The following is a 26,304-nucleotide window of genomic DNA, read 5'->3' as shown; positions in this document are numbered from 1 at the left end:
AAAGTAATAATAAAATATTCTGGGTAATATTTGAAAATTATGCAAACTAATGAAAACATCCTAAGAAAATCAAACAGCAAAGAATTTTTTTTTTAAGCGTAAGGGTTCTTGAACTACAAAAACACTATGTATGGGGTTTCTTATACTACTCACTCTAGTTTTGTATCTTGAGAATATTTTCGTAATAGAGAGTTTTAAAATATTTTAGAATTGTTTAAATGGTATGAGTGTCTAGATTTATACAGCTGCCATAATTGTGTAAGGAATAGATTATTAAATATACTATGTTGCTAAAACTGGTTAGTGATTGGGAAATTTTTTTAAATCCACTTAGATCCATCTCATGATATTTTATAAACTCCATGTGTAGAAAACTTCAAACTGAGAAAAAGATTTCATCATATAATATCACTTCAGAGAAAAATGAACTATCTGATTTCTTTTTTATATTTTTTGTAGAGTCACAGTCTCACTATTTTGCCCAGGCTGGTCTCAAACTCCTGGCCTCAAGCAATCCTCTTGCCTCTGCCTCCCAAAGTACCGGGATTACAGGTATCAGCTACCCTGCCCGGCCTCTAAACTATCTGATTTCTAAAAGAGGAATAACTTTCTAAGTTTTTAAACCAGAGAACATGGGGATCATTTCAAATTTCTGTACAGACCAAAAATATAACCAAAATGAAATAATAAGATTGTGAAAAAACTGTAACAAATTTGACACGGTTAATTTATTTATAAATGTACCAACAGACTGCTTAAAATACATACAGTAATACTTCAAAAAAAGTAAATGAACAAAAGGACAAAGAGCAATTACAAAACTGTAAAAATAATAAACACATATTAACAGTGTGCCATTTTCACCACAAATGTTTTTTTAAAAAATCCAAACTTGACCAGGCGCAGTGGCTCACATCTGTAACCCCAGCATTTTGGGTGGCTGTGGTAGGAGGATCCCTTGAGTCCAGGAGTTCAAGACAAGCCTGGGCAACATGGCAAAACCCTGTCTCTACAAAAACTACAAAAATTAGCCAGGCATGGCGGCGTACACCTGTAGTCCCAGCTACTCGGGGACTGAGGTGGGAGGGTTACTTGAGCCAGGAAGGCATAGGTTGCAATGAGCCAAGATCGCACCACTGTACTCCAGCCTGGGCAACAGAGCAAGATGCTGTCTCAAAAACCAAACAAACAAACAAACCTTTTCTTCCTTCCCTTATAAAATGTAGACTCCTAGTAGAAAATTTGGCAAATTTCAAAAAAATACACAGATGTAATTCCAAAAACCTTCCACAGAAGACAACCTCTTTTATAATATGTACATGTGTATTTATATTTGATATATCTATAATTCTGCATTCTAAACGAGGGAAATTTTGAAAGATCAATACCCAATAATAGCAAGGGGACATACATTCCTATAAAACTGATTGTACTACTGTATCATTCATTTGGAAACATGTATTACTTTCATACAATAAATTGTGCCCCTACTATATATACCAAGTAATGTGCTAAGTGGTGAGGATACATTAAAAATTAAACCCACTTCTTCTCAAGAAACTCGATGTCTACTAGAAGGGGGAAAAAACAGTGATATTTTTAAAAGACAGGTGCTACGACAGAGGTACACAACACCTTAAATGACTCTCAAAATTATCTTGGGTTTAGTTCAGTGTACTTTCTACTATCTTATATTATCACTAAAAATTACCTTATCATTTTTAAACAAGATTAGGCAAGAAAAGAGAAGGCGGGCAGATTCTAAAGAAAATAGTCTATCTACTCTCCTGATATATTTTTTGACTGTTCTTGAATTGAGGTTAAATTTACATACACTGAAATACGACAATCATCACTGTAAAATTCAATGACCTTTGGTAAAAGTTTAAAAGTTATATAAAAATATGTATTGTAATACTTCTGTACCAATGGAAAAATAAAATTATTCTACAATATCCAAATATGCATTCACTGGATTATTATGGTACAGAATAAATGAGATCAAATCAACTCAGATTATGAGAAATCCTTTTTATACGCTAATGAAAAAATATAAAACTGTAAAAATAGCATAATTACAAGTATTTCAATACATATAAACTTGTAAGTATTTAAAATGTACACATGTAAATAATCAGAAATATGAAAAAATTAAAATGTTAGGTAGATAAAAATGGGTGACATTCTCCCCCTCTTACAGTAAACAGTCTTTAAAAGGTAGGAGTGGGGAGGATAGAATTCTACTGTCAGTAACATATGATGATGAAAGTTTTCTATGGTATGTGGTCTAATACCAACCATAAGTACACATAATTATGAAGACCTTTATCATGTAATCTAGGTAACCTTTCAGAATACTTTGTTCCCCAAGTGACAACAGTATAGCTTCAATAACAATGTATACATCCTACCACAAAACTATCTATATAACAAAAATATCTCCAAGTCCCAACTAAAGACACTATTATCTTGCACAATATTTAAACCAGTAAAACTGTAACACAAGAAACATGACAGATAAGTTTTTATTAAAGATGTTAAAACCTCAAATTCCAATCATTTACTGCTCAACCAATATATTTAAGATATAAACAGTAAACACTGGTAAAAATAATACCAAACAAGAAAAAGCACAGTATTTTCTGAAACCATACAAAAACTTGCAGAGCAGAAATTAGTTTTCAAATCGGCCCCTAGTCACAGGGCCTGGATGATGCAGAACCTATTCTTTACACAATATATCCAATGTTAATCAAAATATAGCAGTGGTAACTAGACAGAAACCTAGGAAACTGAAACAGTTAAGCTCTCCCTTAGAGGTAATCCTTTGAATTAACTCAATTTACCACCTAAAGAGATATGTAATGTATTAGGATATCAAATACTAGGCAAGGGATATATGTATCGGACAATATTTTTAAGTTGCACAACAAAGCTCTACTGAGACAAAAACACATGATTATTTTTAATTGATGCTCAGAAACATGAAAAATATCACATAATAGATATATTAGGCAAATTATTCTGGCTGCATGTCCAGGAAGGAGGATATCCCAATAATGAATATGGCTTACCTATGTGACCAACTTTAACTTTAAATGGTACATCCAGTTGACTCTACAGAAAAAATTTATATATACACAAAACATTAGTAGATATAGAGTTTAACAACATAAATGAATACTCTTTACTTCCAAAAATTATTTCAAGGGATTTTTTAATAAACTTACACATTTCCTTATCATCAACATTTATTTAAATATATAAACATATAACTGCAATATTACTATCAAATCCATAAAATCCAGGGAAGCTGCTCTTTTAATAATAATTGGGGATAAAGGTCTACAGTAAAAATGACCAGAAAATCTACTCATATCAAATCATTACCAATTTTATATTATTTTAAGAAAAAGAAGTGGCAATTACAATGTCATTTTATGCTTTTAGGGAGATTAAAACTCTATTTTGCAAAATACGCGTTTTGTAAAAAATAAACTTTCAAAACGTTCTCCCCATTCAAAGAATAGCCTTTTAAATAAATGGTGCTAGGAAAACTAGATATCCACTCGCAAAAACATGAAACTGAACCCTTATCCTATACCATATACAAAAATTACCTCAAAATGGATCTAAGATCTAAACCTAAGAGCTAAAACTATACAACTCTTAGAAGAAAACATAAGGGAAAATCTTCACGACATTAGATTCGGTAAAGACTTCTTGAATATGACAATAAAAGCACAAGCAATTAAAAAAATGAACTAGTCTTTATCAGATTAAAAACTTTTCAGCTGCTCAGGAGGCTGAAAGGGGAAGACAGCTTGAGCCTAGGAGCTGAGGCCTACAGTAAGCTATGATCACACCACTGCACTGCAGCCTGGGGTGACACAGCATGAGCCTGTCTTAAAAAAAAAATCAGAAAACAAGTTAAAAATTTGAAATAAAAACATCTGTATTTTTTGTATGTTTGTTTTTGTTTTGTTTTGTTTTGAGACAGAGTCTCACTCTGTCACCCAGGCTGGAGTGCAGTAGCACGATCTCCATTTACTACAGCCTCCACCTCCTGGGTTCAAGCGATTCTCCTGCCTCATCCTCCCTGGCAGCTGGGATTACTGGCGTCCACCACCATGCCTGGCGAAGCTTTTTGCATTTTTAGTAGAGATGGGGTTTCACCATGTTGGCCAGGCTAGTCTCGAACTACTGACCTCAAATAATCCACCTGCCTTGACCTCCCAAAGTGCTGGGATTACAGGCATGAGCCACCATGCCCAGCCTAAAACAATATGTATTTTTAAATAGAAAAAAAATCACACTGTCCATTTGTGCTTTCAGGGAGATTAAAACTCCATTTAGCAAAATTTACATTTTGCAAAAATTATTTACAAAAAACTTTCTCAAATTTAAATAATTTAAGGTGACAAACTGAATCAGGAAGAATTATACATAATTAAATGCAATAACTTTACAAATTTTTCATAGTCAAAACCTACCAGGGCATTTTCTTTAATTTGAAGATTCTTGAGGGCCACAGCTCCTAAAAAAGATTAAAAAAAAGATTCAAACAATCAAATATTTTTCATTTTAAAAAGTTAATATGTATGCTTCATTCCTGTCATAATCAGGAAAAATATATAAATAATGTGCATAACAGATAATATAATCTGCCTATAATCTTATTATCTCACCTTCATTCTTCTACATAGTCTAACAGAGTATGCTTGACCAAATCTTCACTAATTGTATCTTTTGACCTCTGCAATTGTAGCTCAATGTTAATATATACAAACATTTTAATCAGAATTATACAAATGAGTCTAACAAAGTAGCATGATACAAGATCAACATGCAAAAAGTAAACTACATTTAAATATACTTGCAATAAACCATTGAGAAAAAATTATTTAATGCAAAATCAGTAAGCCCCAAGATACGTAAATAAAAACTTCCCAATTCAAAGCCAATAAAAAAAGAAAATGAGAAAAATAATAGAACAGAATGTCTAAGAACTATAGGACAATTGCAAAAGCTGTAACATACAGGTAATGGGATTAATGAAAGTTTAAAATACACTGCTATAACATTAGGATGTTACATGTAACCCCATCGTAACCACAAAGAAAATACCTTTAGAACATACACAAAAGTCATCCAGGCATGGTGGCAGGCACCCGTAGTCCCAGCTACTTGAGGAGGCTGAGGTGGGAGGATCACACAAGCCTAGAAGTCCAGCCTGGGCAACACAGCGAGACCTCATTGCTATCTTGATGTTAATATTAATTATGTTATTAGTTAATTAAACACAAAATGAATCAAAGTTGCTATAAAAAATTAACTAAACCAAAGGAAAGGCACTAAGGGGTAAAACAGAAAGAAGAAATGCTGTAAGACACATAGAAAGTAATTAGCAAAATGGCAATATTAAGTCCTTCCCTATCTGTAACTACTTCAAATATAAATGGCTTAACTCTCCTACAAAAAGACAGATTGGCAGAATGGATTAAAATAAACAGGATCCCAGCCGGGAGCGGTGGTTCACGCCTGTAATCCTGGCACTTCGAGAGGCTGAGGCAGGTGGATCACCTGAAGTCAGCAGTTCGAGACCAGCCTGACCAAAATGGTGAAATCCCATCTCTACTAAAAGTACAAAATTAGCCGGTCGTGATGGTGCATGCCTGTAATCCCAGCTACTTGGGAGACTAAGGCAGGAGAATTGCTTGAACCCAGGAGGCGGAGGTTGCAGTGAGCCGACATCACGCCACTGCACTCCAGCCTGGGCAACAGAGTGAGACTCCATCTCAAAATAAATAAATAGAGAGAAAGAGAGAGAGACAAAAAAAATAAAAGTACGTGGTCTACAAGAAACTCACTTTGGCTCTAAGGACACTCATAGGTCAAAAGCAAAAAGATTTAAAAAAAAGTAAGCCCATGCAAAAATAACCAAAAGAGCAAAGATACCTGGGCATCACTAATCCAAAACTCCAAAATCGGAAACTTTCTGAGTGCAGACATAATACCACAAGTGGATGATGAAGATAAAGATGATGATGTTACCAATGCAAAAAGGTACCTATAGACCACATGGTACATGGTGAAAATGTGTGATGGGCTTATTAAAGGACTGGAGCAGCAGGCATTCATAACAGAACAATAAATTATGACAGTTTATAAAATCAGAGACTTCTCAGACAAAAAAGAGTTAGTGAGGCAGATGGTTCTGGAGGAAACATTTTTAAAAGCCATCTAGCAAAATGCCTCCTCATCCCCTGAGGATCCAATTCCGGGCCCCTCAACTGCTTCTAATGTTTCTTCTCACTTGAAAAAAAAAATAAATAAATACAGTACATTCTACAGTTACCTTTTAATCAAAACACAGCATTGTAGGTGGAGACTGAGAGCCTGCCTGCCACTGTTTGTTGCTGCTGCTGTTTAACAGTGGATACATATATTCCCAGTGATGCTACTGTGCTGCTTACTCACCCTGAACACACTGTATTTTCACTGAATTAATGGTACCTCATATGTCTTACTGTTAACAACTTACGTGTGAATAAATGTGAGAAAATTATTGCTGATCAGCATATAAATTCAGTCAAGAATAACGATGATGCCAAACAACCACAGATTGTCCACATGGGCAGCTGAGACAGTGACGCCTTTCCTTTCTGATGGTTGAAGGTACACAAGCTTTGTTTCATGCAGAAAATTATTTAAAATATTGTATAAAATTATCTTTGGGCTATGTGTACAAGGTATATTTGAAACATAAATGAATTTTGTGTTAGACTTGGGTCTCATCTCCAAGATATCTCATTATGTATATGTACGTATTCTAAAATCTGAAGAAAAAAAAAATCCAAAATCCATATCACTTCTGATTCCAAGCATTTCAGATAAGGCATATTCAACCTATACTAATATTAGACATATAAACTTTAAGTCAAAATCTGTTACAAAAAACAAAGAAGGGCATTATATAATGATAAAACCGACACTTCACTAAAAAGATGTAACAATTATAAACATGTATGCACCAAACATGAGACCAGCAAAACATATGAAGCAAACACTGACAGAATTGAGGAGAGAAACAGATAGCACTACATTAGCAGTAGAAGGCTTCAATACCCCACTTTCAGTAATGGACAGAACAACCACACAGAAGATTAATAAGGAAATATAGGACTTAATACTATTGACCAACTGGACCAAAAGACACATACAGAACACTCCACCCACCAACAGCAGAATACACATTTTTCTCAGGTGCACATGGGACATTCTCCAGGATATATGTGAGGTCATAAAACAAGTGTCAAAATTTTTGTAAAGAGAAAAGAAAACATACAAATGGTCAACAGGTATATATATGAGAAAAGGCTCAGCATCACCCATCATCAGATAAATAAAAATCAAAACCACAAGAAGATATTACCTCAACCTATTAGACTGGCTATCATCAAAAAGACAAAAAAATAAATGCTGGTGTGACTGTGGAGAAAGGGAAACTCTTACACACTGTTTTTGGGAGTATAAATTAGTACAGCCATTATAAAACACACTATGGAAGTTCTTCAAAAAATTTAAAAATAAAATTACCATATGATCCATCATTCCCACTAATGTATAAATATCCCAAAGAAATGAAATCAGTTTGTTGAAGAGAAACCTGGACTTTATGTTTATTGCAGCACTTTTCACAAAAGCCAAGATATGAAATCAAGTGTCTACAAACAGATGCACTGCTAAAGAAAATGTGGTATATATATACACAGTGAAATACTATTCCCCATTTAAAAAAAAAAACAAAACAAAACAATATAATCTTGTCCTTTGCAGCAACACAGACGCACCTGGAAGGCATAATGCTAAGGGAAATAAGCCAGGCACAGAAAGACAAATACTGCATGATTTCACGTGTGAAATCTAAAAAAGTTGACATCTCATAGAAGTAGTGTATAGAATAGTGGTTGCCAGAGGCTGGGGAATACTGGCGAGAGGGGAAATAGGTAAAGATTGGTCAATGAGAATAAAGTTACAGTAAGATGGGAAGAATAAGTTCTGGTGTTCTATTGCACAGCAGAGTGACTATGGTTAACAATACTGTATTGCATGTTTTAACATAGCTAGAAGAAAGATTTTGAATGTCCTCACCACAAGGAAATGATGAATGTATAAGGTGATGGATATTCTAAATACCAATTTGATTTTTATACAATGTATACATGTATTGAAACATCACCCTGTACCTAATAAATATGCACAATACATGTCAATTAAAAACAAAATTGTAAAATTATAAAAGATTGACGTTATGCAAGGTATCTTTTCTAGTAACAATAAATAAATAAAATAAATAAGGAAATAACAGATGGAAACAGAACAATGAACAAATATATGAAAATTAAGCACTCTTAAATAAGAAACGGGTCAAAAAGGTAACCCCAAGAAAAATTAGAAAATATCGAGATGAAAATAAAAAGACTGTACCATCATAATTAGTATGATACAGCAAAAGCAGCGCTAGAAGGAACATAAAGCTGTAACTGTTTATGTTTAAAAAGAAGAAACATCCCAAATCACCACCTAAATTTATTCCTTAAGGAAATAGGGAAAAAAACAAAACAAAATGCAAACCTAGCAGAAGGGAGAAAATAATAAAGATCAGAGCAAAGATAAGTGAAAGAGAATGGAAAAAAAATAAAAATAAAAATAAAGCATTCGTTTTCTTTTTTTTTCTTTTTTGAGACGGAGTCTCGCTGTGTCGCCCAGGCTGGAGCGCAGTGGCACGATCTCAGCTCACTGCAACCTCCGCCTCCTGGGATCAAGTGATTCTCCTGCCTCAGCCTCCTGAGTAGCTGGGATTACAGGGGCCCACCACCATGCCCAGCTAATTTTTGTATTTTTAGTAGAGACGGGGTTTTGTCATGTTGGCCAAGCTGGTCTCGAACTGCTGACCTCAAGTGATCCACCCGCCTCAGCCTCCCAGAACGCTGGGATTACAGGCGTGAGCCACTGCACCGGGACACCGACTGTTAGTTTTCTAAAAAGATCAATAGGTTGGGCAAGGTGGCTCACGCCTGTAATCCCAGCACTTTGGGAGGCCGAAGCAGGCAGATCACGAGGTCAGGAGATGGAGACCATCCTGGCTAACATGGTGAAACTCGGTCTCTACTAAAAATACAAAAAAATTAGCCAGGTGTTGTGGCGGGCACCTGCAGTACCAGCTACTCGGGAGGCTGAGGCAGCAGAATGGCGTGAACCCGGGAAGCGGAGTTTCCAGTGAGCCGAGATTGCGCCACTGCACTCCAGCCTGTGTGACAGGCTTATACCATATTCAAAAATTAACTCAAAATGGATCCAAGAGCTAAATGTAAAACTGAAAACTATAAAACTTAGAATAAAGCATAGGGAGAAAGTTCTGTGACACTGCATTTTGCAATGATTTCTTGGATATAACACCAAAAGCATAGGCAACAAAAGAAAAAAAATAGGTGAATTGGACTTCGTCAAATGTTAAAACTTTTATTCCTCACATGACACTATATACAGTGAACAGACAACAGAGAGGAGTCAGGGTGGCCAAGTAGACACAGAGTCAGGAAGAGCTTCCACCACCAAGAGACCAGGCCATCAAGAAGACCAGCACACTCTGAGCAGATCTTTGGAAGGAAGGCACTGAGAGTGAACAGAAGGAGGATGCGGATCCTGGGCTGAAGGAGGAGAAAGCTGGGAACCTTACAGGGAGCTCCCCTAGCACCATGACTCATTCTGACCCCAAATGCTCCTGGGGAAAGGATGAGTTAAACAGGCATGGAGTAGCCTGTTCTTGTCATGGACCTCTAGAATCCTAGCTGAAGGAGGCTCCATGACCCCTACAGACATTTGAGGTTGCAAAGACAGCTGCTTGGGAAGTTGGCAGAAACAGGACTCCAGTCTGCACGGAGCCCAGAAGGCCTGGTGTGGGAATGGCTGCAGTGGAGCATGGCCAGGTATGTCCATCTCCCAAAGCTCACCACACACCTCTAGGTAGCTTTGGTCTTTGCTGACTATTGGACCTAGACAGAACAGAACTATCTTGCCCATGGCACAGGGCTTGTCAGATTTGAGCGCCCCCCCCAACCCCCATCCCTGGTTGCCTGTTCCACAGTCCCTGCCTGGCCACATCCAATTGCAATGGACGCTGATGCCCAACCGCAGCACTTCCCGACAGCCACCACTATAGCTCCTTTGCTGGCAAGCCCCAGGTAACCACCAGAGAGCACCTGCACATGGGCCTCCACCAGCATCCACCCACGCACAGCTTCCCCGCACTGTTTTGCCAGGACACCGTCACCCACAGCCTCCCCCGACGGCTTTTCCAATGTATATGCAGGCCTTACCACCCTACTGTCACCACCCCAACCAAGCACTTTTGCCGGCCCCACCATCAGAGTGTTGTTGCCCAGCAGACCGGGAACACCTTGGCCCCACCAGTGCAATGGGTGCTTAACCTCGAGGAGACAGAGAACAAAGTCATGTGCCTAGTCCTAACACCCCAGGGTTATAGCATGCATGCCAGGAGTGCTGAGCTGAGCCTTGGTACCCAGAAATCATCAAGAAACTATGCCAGTCGACTAAACTCAACTTATATCAAGGTCAAACCCTTGGGGCATCCAAGAATATAAAAGCAAAAAGCCTCATTCAAAGGATAGCAACTGGAGAGATTAAAGGAACATCAGCCCACAAAGATGAGAAAGAATCAGGGCAAGAATTCTAGCAACTCTATAAGCCTGAGTGTCTTCTTACCTTAAAATGACTGCAGTAGCTCCCCAGCAATGGTTCTTATTTTATATATTTATTTTTTTGAAGAGAGAGTTTTGCCCTGTCGCCCAGGCTGGAGTGCAGTGGCATGATCTCGGCTCACTGCAACCTCCACCTTCCGGGTTCAAGTGATTCTCCTGCCTCAGCTTCCTGGGTAACTAGGATTACAGGTGCCCACCACCACACCCAGCTAATTTCTATATTTTAATTAGAGACAGGGTTTCACCATGTTGGCCAGGCTGGTCTTGAACACCTGACCTCAAGTGATCCGCCCGCCTCAGCCTCCCAAAGTGCTGGGATTACAGGTGTGAGCCACTGTACCCAGCCTAGTGATGGTTCTTAATCACACTGAAATGATGGGCATAAAACTCAGAAGATACCGAAATTCGGGAGAAAGTTGAAACCCAATCCACGGAATTTAAGGACTCCAGTAAAATGAGTCAAGAGCTGAAAAATGAAATAGTCATTTTAAGAAACAACCAAACTGATCTGACAGAGCTAAAAAACTCACTACAAGAACTTCACAATATCACTGGAAGTATTAACAGCAGAACAGATTAAGCTGAGGAGGGAATCTCAAGAACTTGAAGACTGGTTCTTCAGTATCAACTCAGACAAAAATAAAGGAAAAATAACTTTTCAATGGAAAAAAATCTCCCAAAAACATGAGATTATGTGAAGAGATCAAATCTACAACTCACTGTTGTCCCTGAAAGAGAGGGAGAGAAAACAAGCAACTTGGAAACATATTTGAGGATACTGTCCACAAAAATTTCCCCATCCTAGCTAGAGAGGTTGACATGCAAATTCAGGAAATTCATAGAACCCCTGCAAGATACTATACAAGATGACCATCCCCAAGACACATAATCATCAGATTCTCCAAGGTCAATGTGAAAGAAAAAAATAATAAAGGGAGCTAGAGAGAAGGGGTAGGTCTACTACAAAGGGAATCCCATCAGGCTAGCACCAGACCTTTCAGCAGAAATCCTACAAGCCAGAAGAAATTGGGGGCCTAATTCAGCATCCTTAAAGAAAAGAAATTCCAACCAAGAATTTCATATCTAACCAAACTAAACTTCATAAGTGAATCAGAAATAAAATATTTTCAGACAAGTAAATGCTAAGGGAACTCATTACCACCAGACTTGCCTTTTAAGAGGTCCTTAAGGGAGTACTAACCATGGAAATGAAAGACCATTACCGGCTACCACAGAAACACACTTAAGTACAGAGACCACTAACTCTATAAAGCAACTATACAATCAAGTCTGCATACCAACCAGCTAACAACACGATAACAGGATGAAATCAGCACATAACAATATTCATCTTGAATGTAAACAGGCTAAACATCCCACTTCAAAGGCACAGAATGGCAATTCATATGAAGAACCAAGAACCAATTGTATGTTGTCTTTATGAGACCCATTTCATATGCAATGCCACCCATAGGCTCAAAGTAAAGGAATGGAGAAAGATCTATCAAGCAAGTAAAACAAAAAAGGGCAGGCATGGGTAACTTATTTCAGACAAAACAGACTTGAAACCAACAACAATCAAAAAGGACAAAGAAGGGCATTACAAAACAATAAAAGGTTGAATTCAACAAGAAGACTTAACTATCCTAAATACGTATATACCCAACACTGGAGCACCTAGATTCAAAAAAGAAGCTCTCAGAGACCTACAGAGACTTGCACAACCACACAATAATAGTGGGAGACTTCAAAAACCCACTGACAGTATTAGACAGACCTAAAGTCAACACTTCACCAAATGGACCTAACAGAGTTCTACAGAACACCTCACCCAACAAAAACAGAATATACGTTATTCTCATATGCACATGGCACGTATCTAAAACCAACCACATGCTCAACCATAAAGCAATTCTCAACAAATTAAAAATCCCACAATCATACCAACCATGTTCTCAAGATGACAGTGCAATAAAAATAGGTAACAATACCAAGAAGATCTCTCAAAACCATACAATTCCATGGAAATTAAACCACTCCTGAATGACTTTTGGGTAAACAACGAAATCTTAATTTCACTGAAATCCAGAAATTCTTTGGGCCAGGCACGGTGGCTCATGCCTGTAATCCCAGTACTTTGCAAGGCTTAGGTGGGGGGATCACTTGAGCCCAGGAGTTCAAGACCAGCCTGGCCAACATGGTGAAACATTGTCTTTACAAAAAATACAAAAAAAATTAGCCAGGTGTAGGAGTGCACACCTGCAGTCCCAGCTACTCAGGAGGCTGAGAGGTGGGAGGACTGCTTGAGCCTGGAAGGTGGAGGCTGCAGTGAGCCGTGTTCATGCCACTCCACTTCAGCCTCGGCAACAGGGCAAGAACCTGTCTCAAAAAAAAAAAAAAAAGAAGAAGAAAAAGAAAAGAAAAGAAAGGAATTATTTGAAACTAATGAAAACAAAGATACAATATACCAGAATCTCTGGGACATAGCTAATGTAGTCTTAAGAGGAAAGTTTATAGTGCTAAATGCCCACATCAAAATGTTAGAAAGATATAAAGTTAACAACTAACATCATGCCTAGAGGAACTAGAAAAATGAGCAAATCAACCCCAAAGCTAGCCACAGAAAAGAAATAACCAAAATTAGAGTTGAACTGAACAAAAAAAATACAAAAGATGGTTCCTTGAAAGAATAAATAAGATAGATTGCCAGCCAGACTAACAAAGAAAAAAAAAGAGAGAGAGGAGATCCAAATAAACACAATTAGAAATGGCAAAGGGGACATTACCACCGACCCAGAGAAATACAAAAAATCCTTAGAGGCTATTATGAACATCTCTATGCACACTAACTAGAAAATCTACAAGAAATGGATGAATTCCTGGAAACATACAACCTCCCAAGATTGAACCTGGAAGAAACTGAATACCTCAACAGAGCAATAATGAGTTCTGAAATTGTATAAAAAGTCTACCAACCAGAAAAAGCCCTGGACCAGATGGATTCATAACCAAATTCTACCGGACATATAAAGAAGAGCTGGTACCAATCCTATTGAAACTATTCCAAAAAATTGAGAAGGAGGGACTCCTCCCTAACTCATTTTATTTTATGAAGCCAGCATCATTCTGATAACAAAACCTGGCAGAGACATAACAAAAACAGGAAACTTCAGGCCTATATCCCTGATTAACATAAATGCAAAAATCTTCAACAAAATGGTAAACCAAATCCAGCAGCACATCTACCATGATCAAGTAGACTTTATTCCTGGTATGCAAAGTTGGTTCAATATACACAAATCAATAAGTGTGATTCATTACTAAACAGAACTAAAAACAAAAACCACATGATCATCTTTTCAGATTCAGGACTTTTGATAAAATTCAACATCCCTTCATGTTAAAAACCCTCAAAAGACTAAGCATCAAAGGAATATACCTGGAAATAATAAGAGCCATCTATGAAAAACCCACAGCTAACATCACACTGAATGAGCAAAATCTGGAAGTATTCCCCTTGAGAACCAGGACAACACAAGGATACCCACTTACTCCTATTCAACATAGTTCTGGAAGTCTTAGCCAGAGCAATCAGGAAAGAGAAAGAAATAAAAGACATCCAAATAGGAAGAGAGGAAGTCAAATCATCCCTGTTTGCAGACGGTATGATTCTATACCTAGAAAACTCCATAGTCTCTGCCCAAAGGTTCCTAGAACTAATAACTTCAACCAACTTTCAGGATACAAAATCAATGTACAAAAATCAGTAGTATTTCTATATACCAATAACATCCAAGCTGAGAGCCAAATCAAGAATTCAATCCCATTCACAATCGCCACAAAAAGAATAAAATGCCTAGGAATAGAGCTAATCAGAGAGGTAAAAGATCTCTACAATGAGAATTGCAAAACACTGCTCAAAGAAATCAGAGACAACACAAACAAATGGAAAAACATTCCATGCTCATAGACAGGAAGAATCAAAATTGTTAAAATGTCCATACTGCCCAAAGCAATCTACAGCTTCAATGCTATTCCTATCAAACTGCCAATGTTATTTCTCACAGAATTAGAAAAAACTATTTTAAAATTCATACTGGCCCAAAAAAGTAGCCTGAATAGCCAAAGCAACCCTAAACCAAAAGAATAAAGCCTGAGGCATCACACTACCTGACTTCAACCTATACTAAAAGGCTACAATAACCAAAACAACATGGCACTGATACAAAAACAGACATGTAGACCAATGGAACAGGTCAAGAGCCCAGAAATAAAGCCAGACACCTACAACCATCTGATTTTAACAAAACTGACAAGCAATGGGAAAAGGACTCCCTATTCAATAAATGGTGTGGAGATAACGGCCAGCCACATGCAGAAGACTGAAACTGGATCCTACCTTTCACCATATACAACAATCAACTCAAGATAGATTAAAGACTTAAATGTAAAACCTAAAACTATAAAAACCCTAGAAGAAAACTTAGGGAATACCATGCTGGACATAAGCCCTGACAAAGATTTCATGATGAAAATTCCAGAACTACAAAAAAAAAAAAAAAAAAGGCAAGTGGGACCTAATTAAACTAAAGAGCTCTTGCACAGCAAATGAAACTGTCCACAGAGTAAACAGACAATCTACAAAATGGGAGAAAACATTTGCAAGCTATACATCCAACAAAGATCTAATTATCCAGAATCGATAAGGAACTTAAACAAACAAGCAGAAAACTAACAACCCCATTTAAAAAATGGGCAATGGACATGAGCAGACACCTCTCAAAAGACACATGCGGCCAAGAAACATGGAAAAAAAAAACTCAACATCACTAATCATTAGAGGATTAATGATTAGTGAGATACGATCCTACACCAGTCAGAATGGCTATTATTAAAAAGTCAAAAATAACAGATGCTGGTGAGGCTGCAGAGAAAAGGGAACACTTACACACTGCTGGTGGGAATGTAAATTAGTTCAGCCACTTTGGAATGCAGTCTGGAGATTTAAGAACTAAGAACTACCAAAGAATTAAGAACTACCATTAGAACCAGCAATCCCATTACTGGGTATATACCCAAAGGACCATAAACTGTCCTACCATAAGGACACATGCATGCGTATGTGCATCACAGCACCACTTCACAATAGCAAAGACATGGAATCAACATAGATGTCTGTCAACAGTGGACTGGATAAAGAAAATGCAGTATATGTTCACCATGGACTACCACACAGCCATGAAAAGGAGCAAAATCATGCCCTTTGCAGCAACATGGATGCCACTGGAGAGCATTATCCTAAGCGAGTTATCACAGAAAAAGAAAACCAAATACTGCATATTCTCACAAGACGGAGTTAAAACTTGAGTACTGTGTTAGTCCATTGTTGTGTTGCTATAAAGAAATACCTGAGCCTGGGTAATTTACAAAGAAAAGAGGTTTAATTGGCTCATGGTTCTGCAAGCTGTACAGGAAGCATGGCACCAGCATCTATCTGCCCAGCTGCTGGGGAGGACGCAGGAAGCTTTCAATCATGGCAGAAGGCAAAAGCGGAGCCAGAACATCACATGGTCACAGCAGGAGCAAGAGGGGGAGTGCATAGGGAGGTGCCACACACTTAACCAGATCTTGCAAGAACTATTGCAAGGACAGCACCAAGCCATGAAAGATCCACCCCTATGACCCAACTGCCTCCCACCAGTCCCCACCTCCAACAATGGGGATTACAATTAAATATGAGACTTGGTGGGGACATGTATTCAAACTCTATCCAGTACACATGGACACAAAGAAGGAAACAACAAACACCAAGGCCTACTTGAGGGTGGAGGGTGTGGGGAGGGTGAGGATCAAAAAACTATCTATCGGGTACTATGCTCTCTACCTGGGTGACAAAATAATTTATACATCAAACCCCAGTGACACACAATTAACCCACACAACAAACCCACACATGTACCCCATGAACCTAAAATAAAAGTTAGCAGGGAAAAAAAGGAAGAAAAGGTAACACACAAAATGGGAAATATTTGCAAATCATATATCTGATAAGCAGCTAACATTGTGTGTGTGTGTGTGTGTGTGTGTGTATGTTTGTATGTAAACTCTTACAACTCAAAAAACAAACAACCTGATTAAAAGATGGACAAAGGACTTAAATAGATGTTTCTCCAATTAAGATATACAAATGGTCAATAAGCCCATGAAAAGATGTTCAACATTACTAATTAGAGAAATGTAAATGAAAACTACAAGATACCACCTCATATCCATTAGGATAACTACTATCAAAAAAAGAGAAAATAAATGTTGGTGAGGATGTGGAGAAATGGTGACCTTTGTACACTGTTGGTAGGAATGTAAAATGGTGCAGTCACTATAGAAAGTAGTATGATAATTCCTCAAAAAAATTGATAATGGAATTACTATATGATCCAGTAATTCTGCTTCTGGGTATGTAACCCAAAAATCTGACAGCACAGACTGAACTTCAAAGAAAAATATCCACATTCATAACACCATTATTCACAACAGCCAAAAGGTGGAAGCTGCCCAACTATTCATCAACAGATGAATGGAGAAACAAAATGCAGTATATACATACAATGGGATACTATTTAGCTTGAAAAATTATTGAAATGCTGACATTTCCTACAACACGGATGCACCTTGAGGACATTATGCCAAGTAAAAGAAACCAATAACAAATGGCAAATACTGTATAATTCCACTTATACTTCAAGTATTCGAATTTACAGACATCAAAAGTAGAATAACGGTTACTGGGGTCTGGGAAGACGGTGGAATGGGTAGTCATTGCTTAACGGGTAAGTGGTTCAGTTTTGCAAGATGAAGAATTCAGGAGATGAATAATGGTGAAGTCAGGAGATGAATGGTGGTGATGGTTGCACAATGTAAGTGTACTTAATGACATGAAGTGTACACTTAAAATGGTTAAGATAGGCCGGGTGTGGTGGGTCACACCTGTAATCCCAGCACTTTGGGAGGCCGAGGCGGGCAGATTACTAGGTCAAGAGATCAAGACCATTCTGGTCAACATAGTGAAACCCCATTTCTACTAAAAATACAAAAATTAGCTGGGCATGGTGGCATGCATCTGTAGTCCCAGCTACTTAGGAGGCTGAGGCAGGAGAATCGCTTGAACCCAGGAGGCAGAGGTTGCAGTAAGCAGAGACTGCGCCACTGCACTCCAGGCTGGGCAACACAGCAGGACTCCATCTCAAAAATTAAAAAAAACAAATAAATAAAGGAGTTCTTCAGAAAGAAGGAAAATGATTTAAACCAAAAACTCAGATTCACAGGAGCATTAGAGAATTAAGAGATGAAGGTAAATTAAGTCTTTTCTTCCTTATTCTTAAATTAATAGAAAAATGTCTAAAATACTAATAGCAGCAATGCATTGGATTATTACAGCTTATAGGTAAGTGAAATTAATGACAACAATGTTACAATGGGCAGAAGGGAGGAATCTGTATACTGTATTGTAAGATAGAGTATTACATATACTACCTCCATTTTCCATGAAGTAGTATAGTGGGATTTTTGTTTTTGTGTTTTTTGAGACAGAGTTTCGCACTGTCGCCCAGGCTAGAGTGAAGTGGCACAATCTCGGCTCACTGCCTCCCAGTTCAAGAGATTCTCATACCTCAGCCTCCTGAGTAGCTGAGACTACAGGCGCACATTACCATGCTCAGCAAATTTTTTGTATTTCTAGTAGAGATGGGGTTTCACCATGTTGACCAGGCAGGTCTCGTACTCTTAACCTTAAATGATCCGCCAGCCTCAGTCCCCCAAAATGCTGGAATTACAGGCGTGAGCCACTATACCTGACCTATAATGTTATTTGGACGTGGACTTGGACTAGTTTTAAGTGAACAGCACAAACTGTAATACAACCACTTAAATAAATTGTTTAAGAAGCATAATTGGTATGCTAAGACAGGAGAAAAAAATTAAATCATATCACATGATCAATTAAAACCAGAGAGGGCAAAAGAGGAGGGGAAGACTGTTTAAAAAGGAAACAAGTATAACAAAACAGAAAACAGCTATAAATATGATAAGACACTGTCAAAGGAAAATAAAGGTTTTTCTCTCTACTCTCATATTCGACACAGAACCCTTAGATAACCAGATATGTGAAGTTTTTCCCCCAATCCCTAAACAATTCTCCAACAGACACTAACTATAATTCAATTAAATAATGACACTATCTACCTAGAAAGGGTGTCATATCGAGCCGGGCGCAGTAGCTCACGCCTGTAATCCCAGCACTTTGGGAGGCCAAGGCAGGTGGATCACAAGGTCAAGAGATCAAGACCATCCTGGTCAACATGGTGAAACTCCGTCTCTACTAAAAATACAAAAAGTAGCCTGGTGTGGTGACAGGCGCCTGTAGTCCCAGCTACTCGGGAGGCTGAGGCAGGAGAATCACTTGAACCCGGGAGGCGGAGGTTGCAGTGAGCCAAAATTGCGCCACCGCACTCCAGCCTGGCGACAGAGCGAGACTCTGTCTCAAAAAAAAAAAAAGAGATAATGTCATATCCCACATGGTAAGGGCTCAGTTCCATAAGACTGCCCCTCACTTCAGATGTCAGTCACAAGTCGCAGGCTGTGATCTGTGCTTCTGATTGACCAGCTATAAATCAGGGTTCGCACCTGATTTTATTTGGTTTGATAATTTGCTGGGATAACTCACAAAACTCAGGGAAATACTTATATTTAACAGTTTATCATAAAGGATATTACAAAGGATACAGATAAAGAGATGGACAGAGCAAAGTAAGGTGGTGGGGAGCTTCCATGCCCTCCCTGTTGTGGACTTTGGTATCTGCACAGGTCTTGGAACTAAACCCCTGGAGATACTGAGTGCTAAACATACACGTCATGACCAAATGGGATTTATTCTAGGTATGCAAGGCTAGTTCAACATTCAAAGATCAATTAATGTAATGTATCACACCAACAGATTAAAAAAGAAAAAAATCCTGTGATAATAGTAATAGATGCAGAAAAAAACATTTGACAAAATCCAGCATTCTTTTGTTTTTGTTTTTTTGAGACGGAGTCTTGCTCTGTCACCTAGGCTGGAGTGCAGTAGCACGATCTCGGCTCACTGCAACCTCCGCCTCCCATGTTCAAGCGATTCTCGTGTCTCAGCCTCCCAAGTAGCTGGGACTACAGGTGCCCGCCACCACACCCAGCTAATTTTTGTATTTTTAGTAGAGACAGGGTCTCACCATGTTGGCCAGGCTGGGCTCGAACTCCTGGCCTCAACTGATCTGGCCACCTCAGCTTCCCAAAGTGCTAAAATTACAGGCATGAGCCATCATGCCTGGCTCCAACATTCTTGAAGGAAAAGAAAACACTCTCAGCAAAGCAGAATAGATGTGTATGTATGACAGAAAGAAAAAAATTAGAGTATTTGTTGCCTCTGAAGATGAGGGTAGGAATAAATTAGGAAAGGTCAGGAAAAAGACTTTCTGGGGTGATGGTCATGTTCTATATCTTGACTGGGTTTGAGTTACATGTGTGTATGTATTTGTCAAAACTCAGTCAATGTACACTTAAGATTTGTATATTTTCTTCTACATAAATTTTACCTCAAAAGGAAAAAAACTAAGCAAATATTGCACTCTAATGATACACATGCTGAAGTATTTAGGAGGAAATGAGCTCATCTCTACAACTTATTCTGAAATACATTTAATAATATGAATTGCTGCATGGATAGAGAGATGGACAGATGGACAGGTATGTGACAAAACATGTGTGGTTAAATATTAATGGTATTCCATTATATGGATATGCCAGTTTGTTTATCCATTCACCTGTTGGTGGATACTTGGACTGTTTCCCATTTGGGGCTATTAAAAATAAAGCTGCTATGCACATCTGTGTGCAAATCTTTGTATGAACATATGCTTTCATTTCTCTTGGGTAAACATGTAGAAGCACAATGGCTTGATAACATGGTTGATGTATGTTTAACTTTTTAAGAAATTGCCAAACTGTTTTCCCAAGTTGTTTAACATTTTACATCCCCAGGAGACATATTAACAGAGTTCCAGTTTTTGCACATCCTCACCACCACTTGCTATGGTCAGCAATAAAAAGGAATAAATTATTGATTGTACTACCACATGGATGAATCTCAAAATAATTATGCTGAAATAAGCCAGACTGAAAGAATACAAACTGTACAATCCCATTTATCCAAGTCTAGAAAACTCAAGCTAATATGCAGTAACAGAAAGCAAATCAGCAAAAACCTGGGGACAAGAAGGGTATAAGGGACAAGGAGGGTTAGAAGATACGGTTTACAAAAAGGCACAAGGAAACTTCTAGGTATGACAGATATGTTCATTATCATGTGATGATTGTTACCTGCATGCACATATATGCTAAAACTTATCAAATTGTAGACTTTAACGTGTATTTTACTGCATGTTAATTATACGTCAATAAAGCTGTTAATACATAATATTAATGACAGAATCTAGATAATGGGTATATGGAGAGGCACTGTAAAATCTCCTAACACTTTTTATAATAAAATGTTTCATAGTCTTTAAAGTTTTATTAAAGTATCTTAGAACATAAATATAAAAATAATACATAAGGAATTAGAATTGGTCATTAACACCAGACTGTAAGAATCATTTGTTTGGCTCCCTAGTGTATTCTGGGCACAGAAGAATGACTCCTTAAAAATCGAAAACTGTATCCTAACTGAATCTTCATCTTTTGTACTGCTTCTGGTATCATGGCGGTATCCAGCTAAGTGGCCACTAAACACATGATTCTATTATAAAGGGAAAACTGGGAGATTAACATTTCAAAAACAGAATACGTATGTTAGTTAATAGACAAGAAATCTGAACTTCTAATGTTACATAAAGATGTCAGGCATTATCAAAAAAAAATTACAAATTTGTCCAAGTATTGTGATTTCGGAGAAAACAAAATAGAGACAAAGGAGGCTAACTTAAGAAGGGGCTATGAAGTACAGGTACTTCCTGTGTTACAAATGATAATTCTATCACACAAGCCACTTTTACTACTGCTTTTGTCTATTTAAAATTCTAATACTTTTCCCCTTAATGTTCTCTTAAAATGTACCCAACTGTGCATCAAGTCCCCAGTGTCATTTGTTTAAAAAAATATTTTCATGTCCTACTCCAGATAAATAATTTATAATCTCTGGGGGCAGGTTCTGTATTCATAATAAGCACCTATGGCTGATTCTGATGCAGCCTAGCTCTTAAAGAAAATATGTGAAATGGCCGGACGCAGTGGCTCACACCTGTAATCCCAGCACTTTGGGAGGCCAAGGCAGGTGGATCACTTGAGGTCAGGCGTTCGAGACCAGCCTGGTTGACGTGGTGAAATGCCGTCCCTACTAAAAATACAAAAATTAGCCATGCATGATGGTGGGCACCTTTAATCCCAGCTACTCGGGAGGCTGAGGCAGGAGACTCACTTGAGGCCGTGAGACAGAGGTTGCAGTGAGCCGAGATCGCGTCACTGCACTCCCACCCGGGTGACAGAACGAGACTCCGTCTCAAAAAGAAAAGAAAAAGAAAAAGAAAATTGCTGGAGAAAGTTGGGAAGATAAATTTCAGATGAGTCTATGAAATATTACCACCTCTCTAACTAGATGATATATGGGAAGGGAGAATTATAAATAGAAGTGTATAAAAAGTATACCTTACCAACATCAAAATTTGCCAAGAGTCAGTCCTGGAATGAAGCTCAATTCCTTTTTCATCCCCTGTAAGACAGAGTCTTCTAGCAGTGAGTCTACTTACTGTATTGAACCCAGTACAGTAGCACTCTTCTGCTGCATTATAGTTAAACAGGTTTTTGGAAAAGTCCTCATTCATATATAAGAATGCTTCCATGGGAAAAATGCATTCTGATTTCCAAAGAATCCATCTCAGCAACAAATTTTCAGAGCACCATCCATTATTAGCAATGACTGAATACTAATTGATACTATTATAGTAACATGCTAATATTGAAATTTGCTGGATTATTTCAGAAGCCTAGCAAAAGCACACATTTACAACTACCAATAGGTCCTTCACGTTAGACCATAAAATATTATCTTAAAATTTTCCTATGCAGCATCCAGTTTCTTTTTTTTTTTTTTTTTTTTTGAGGCAGGGTCTCGCTCTGTTGGCCAGGCTAGAGGGCAATGGTGTGATCTCAGCTCACTGCAACCTATGCCTCCCAGCTTCAAGTGATTCTCCTGCCTCAGTCTCCTGAGTAGCTGGGATTACAGGCGAGCGCCACAGTACCCAGCTAATTTTTGTATCTTATTTTTTTCGTAGAGATGAGGTTTCACCACATTGGCCAGGCTGGTCTGAAGTGATCCACCCTCCCCAGTCTCCCAAAGTGCTGGGATTACAGGCATGAGCCACTATGCCTGGCCACCTAGTTTCTATTACAGAAATTTTCAAACAATGTTTTTAAAAAATCCTCCAAATTTATCAAATTACTACTTTTGAAATTCTCAAAGAATATTTTAAAAAAATACTCCAGCTATTATTTAAAGTTTCATTTATCAAAACATAACCAATTTCTATAAATAAAACACTGACATGTTATTTTATTTTATTTTGAGACAGAGTCTCGCTGTCTGTTGCCTAGGTTGGAATGCAGTGGCATGATCAGAGCTCACTGTAATCTCAAACTCCTATGCTCAAGCAATCTTCCCGCCTCAGCCTTCCAAAGTGCTGGGATTACAGGAATGAGCACCACACCTGGACAATGACTTGTTATTTTTTAAATTATTTGTTAAAGACTAAAGTTAGAGGGATCACATTACCTGATTTCTAGACTAACTACAAAGACACAGTTATCAAGACAGTGTAGTATTGGTGAAATGATAGACACACAGATTGAGACAGACTAAAGCCACACAATATTAAGTCTACTGATTTTTTTTTTACGAAATGCAAAGATAATTCAATAGAGAAAGGATCCTCTTTCTTAGCAAGTGGTGCTAAACAATTGGATATTTGCATCCACATGCAAACAAATGAACCTCAACCTTCAACACATATCACACACCTTATACAAAAAGAAATCCAAAACCTAAAACTACAAAACTTCCTTAAGAAAACACAGGAGAACATCTTTGACTTTGGGTTGGGAAAAGATTTCTTAGATATGAATACCAAAAGCCATGATTCATAAAAGAAATGTTTTATAAACTGGGCTTTTCCCAAAATCAAAAATGTATGCTCTGCAAAAGACAAAATGGGAAAAGACTGAGAAAGTATTTTCAAATTACATATCTGATGAAGAAATTGTATCCTTAATATTTAAAGAACTCTCAAAACTCAACCATAAGAAAACAAACACTCTGGAAAAAGAGTTTGGCTGTTCCTCAAAAGGTTACACAAAGTCAGCATATGACCCAGCAATTCCACTTCTAGGTATATATCCAAGAGAATTTAAAACATACATCCACAAAAAAACTTGTACATGAATGTTCAGTGGCATTATTCATAATATCCAAAAGGTGGATGTTTAGGAATAATCTAAACATCCAGCAACTGGTGAGTATAGATAAATAAATTGTGGTCTATGAATATAATGGAATATTATTCAACCCTAAGAGCAAATGAAATAGTCATACATCCTTCAACATGGAGGAACCTTGAAAATACATTAGGTTAAAGAAGCCAGAAACAAAAGGCCACATATCATATAATTCCATTTAAATGAAATGTCCAGAATTACCAAATCCATAAAGACAGAAAGATTAGTGGTTGCCAGAGGTGGAGTAGTGAGAAGGGAGGAAATTGGGAGTCACTCCTAATGGACATACGATTTAATTTTGGGGTGCTGAAATATTCCGGAATGAGAGAGTGGTGATGGTTGTACAATTTTGTGACTATACTAAAAAACACTGAATTGTACATTTTAAAAGAGTGAAATTTATGGTATATGAAATAAATCTCAAAAAAAAAAAAAAAACGTACAACCCAATTTAAAACCACTCTTAGGTATTTATCCAAGAGAAATAACAATTATGTTCACACAAACACCCGTACGTGAATGTTTATGACGGCTTTATTTATAACCTCCAAAAACTGAAATATTCTTCAACCAGCAAACAGATAAATACTTACAGTCAGGCGGGCGCAGTGGCTCACGCCTGTAATCCCAGCACTTTGGGAGGCAGAGGCAGGCGGATTACTTGAGGTCAGGAGTTTGAGACCAGCCTGGCCAACATTGCAAAACCCCCTCTCTACTAAAAATTAGCCGGGCGTGGTGGCGGGGTGAGATCAACTGCAAAGGAGCAGCTGAGAGAATTCGGGAGGCTTGATGAACCTTTTATGTGCCATTATTGTGGTGGTGCATACATGCCTCTTAGCATTTGTCAAGACAGAACTGTATCACAAGAGTGAATTTTACTGCATGTAAATTTTAAACAAATAAATAAGTTGATTAATCACACTCTAGACAAACCTCCACCCTGAATGTGGAAGCAAGACTCCACTACAGATCAAAGTTCACCTCAAGTATTCTTAAGGCTTCCTTCTGAGGTACATGGGAGACAAATTTTATTTTCACTTTGCAACTAAGAAGCAGCATAAACAGACTGCAAGTTTCTTGTACTAATCAAACAGGCTGAGCAGCTATCACTATATCCCTAGCTTTTGTAGTCCACTCACTCTCCATCATGATACTAGGTCCCCACGGTAGTAACATTCTTTAAAATCAAACTAAACTACCTGTTTACATTATCTCATAAACGAGAAGAGTCAAGGTAAGTATTTTAGAAGAAGACTGGAAGTGTGTGCACAGACAAGAATAAATTACTTTAAATATATATTTAAACACACACACTTCACACACAAAATTAACCCTCACTTTGGCCTGGGAAATTCATTTCACAAAGGAGTCTAATTTCTAGCGGGTGTTTAAAATAAACAAGCGCATAATGCAAAAACAGATGGAAACACTAAAAATGAGGCTCTCACTAAGGCAGAATACCACACTAAACGGACACAAGGAAAGCTCGGTCCTTCACCACCTAGGCAGCGTAGGGCCCTGTTCAGCCCGGTCTTTTGCAGGTCTGAGACGTTGCACCGCACGCCCTGGTTTTTCTTTAAAATTCGGCAATTCACTCTGACCCACATATCCTAAAGTCTTGAAAATGTTACACATTCCTAGGTCAGGCTGTTAACTGCAACCACACAAGCAACTGTTTGAGTTACTTTGCACTTGAGTTTCCTTTTTGTTATCCGCCGAACCCAGGCGAGAGAGAGCCGGCGTCCGGGTCCTAGGGCCGGAAGGGGGAGAGCAGAAAGCACCACGGGTGAAGCCAGGAATTGAGGCTGGGGAAGCAAGGAAGCGGGCGTCCCCGGTCACAGCGCCCTGCCTTCACGTGCGAGGCAGCATGCAACACGCGGGGGATTTCTGGGGCCTTCGTCATAAACCCAGGGGGGCAAAGGACAGGGATGGGACCCAGCCCAGGAAG

The 26,304-nt window shown here is 38.2% G+C and overlaps 1 protein-coding gene across 4 annotated transcripts in view, besides 1 other annotated feature; it reads right to left on the bottom strand.

Moving 5' to 3' along the window:
- The window catches only part of VPS13A (vacuolar protein sorting 13 homolog A), a 244,004-nt gene that overhangs the window by 217,056 nt on the left and 644 nt on the right, over positions 1 to 26,304 (bottom strand). For all 4 annotated transcript variants that reach the window (NM_033305.3, NM_001018037.2, NM_015186.4 and 1 more), the window contains exons 2-3: positions 4,494 to 4,537; positions 3,075 to 3,117 (exon numbers count right to left, since the gene is read on the bottom strand). In NM_033305.3, the coding sequence (NP_150648.2) occupies positions 3,075 to 3,117; positions 4,494 to 4,537 (87 nt within the window). The remainder of the gene's footprint in view (positions 1 to 3,074; positions 3,118 to 4,493; positions 4,538 to 26,304) is intronic.
- Positions 25,783 to 25,952: a silencer, noted in NCBI's record as "fragment chr9:79793446-79793615 (GRCh37/hg19 assembly coordinates)". NCBI's record gives its function as "represses an EF-1alpha promoter that drives an FKBP-Casp9 reporter gene in an ReSE screen in K562 erythroleukemia cells {active_cell/tissue: K562}" and the evidence as "EXISTENCE:reporter gene assay evidence [ECO:0000049][PMID:32094911]".

Source organism: Homo sapiens, chromosome 9 (assembly GCF_000001405.40).
Source record: "Homo sapiens chromosome 9, GRCh38.p14 Primary Assembly".
NCBI classification, from domain to species: domain Eukaryota; kingdom Metazoa; phylum Chordata; class Mammalia; order Primates; family Hominidae; genus Homo; species Homo sapiens.
Note: the sequence above shows the minus strand (reverse complement) of the source record. Positions and strands in the feature narration are given on the sequence as shown.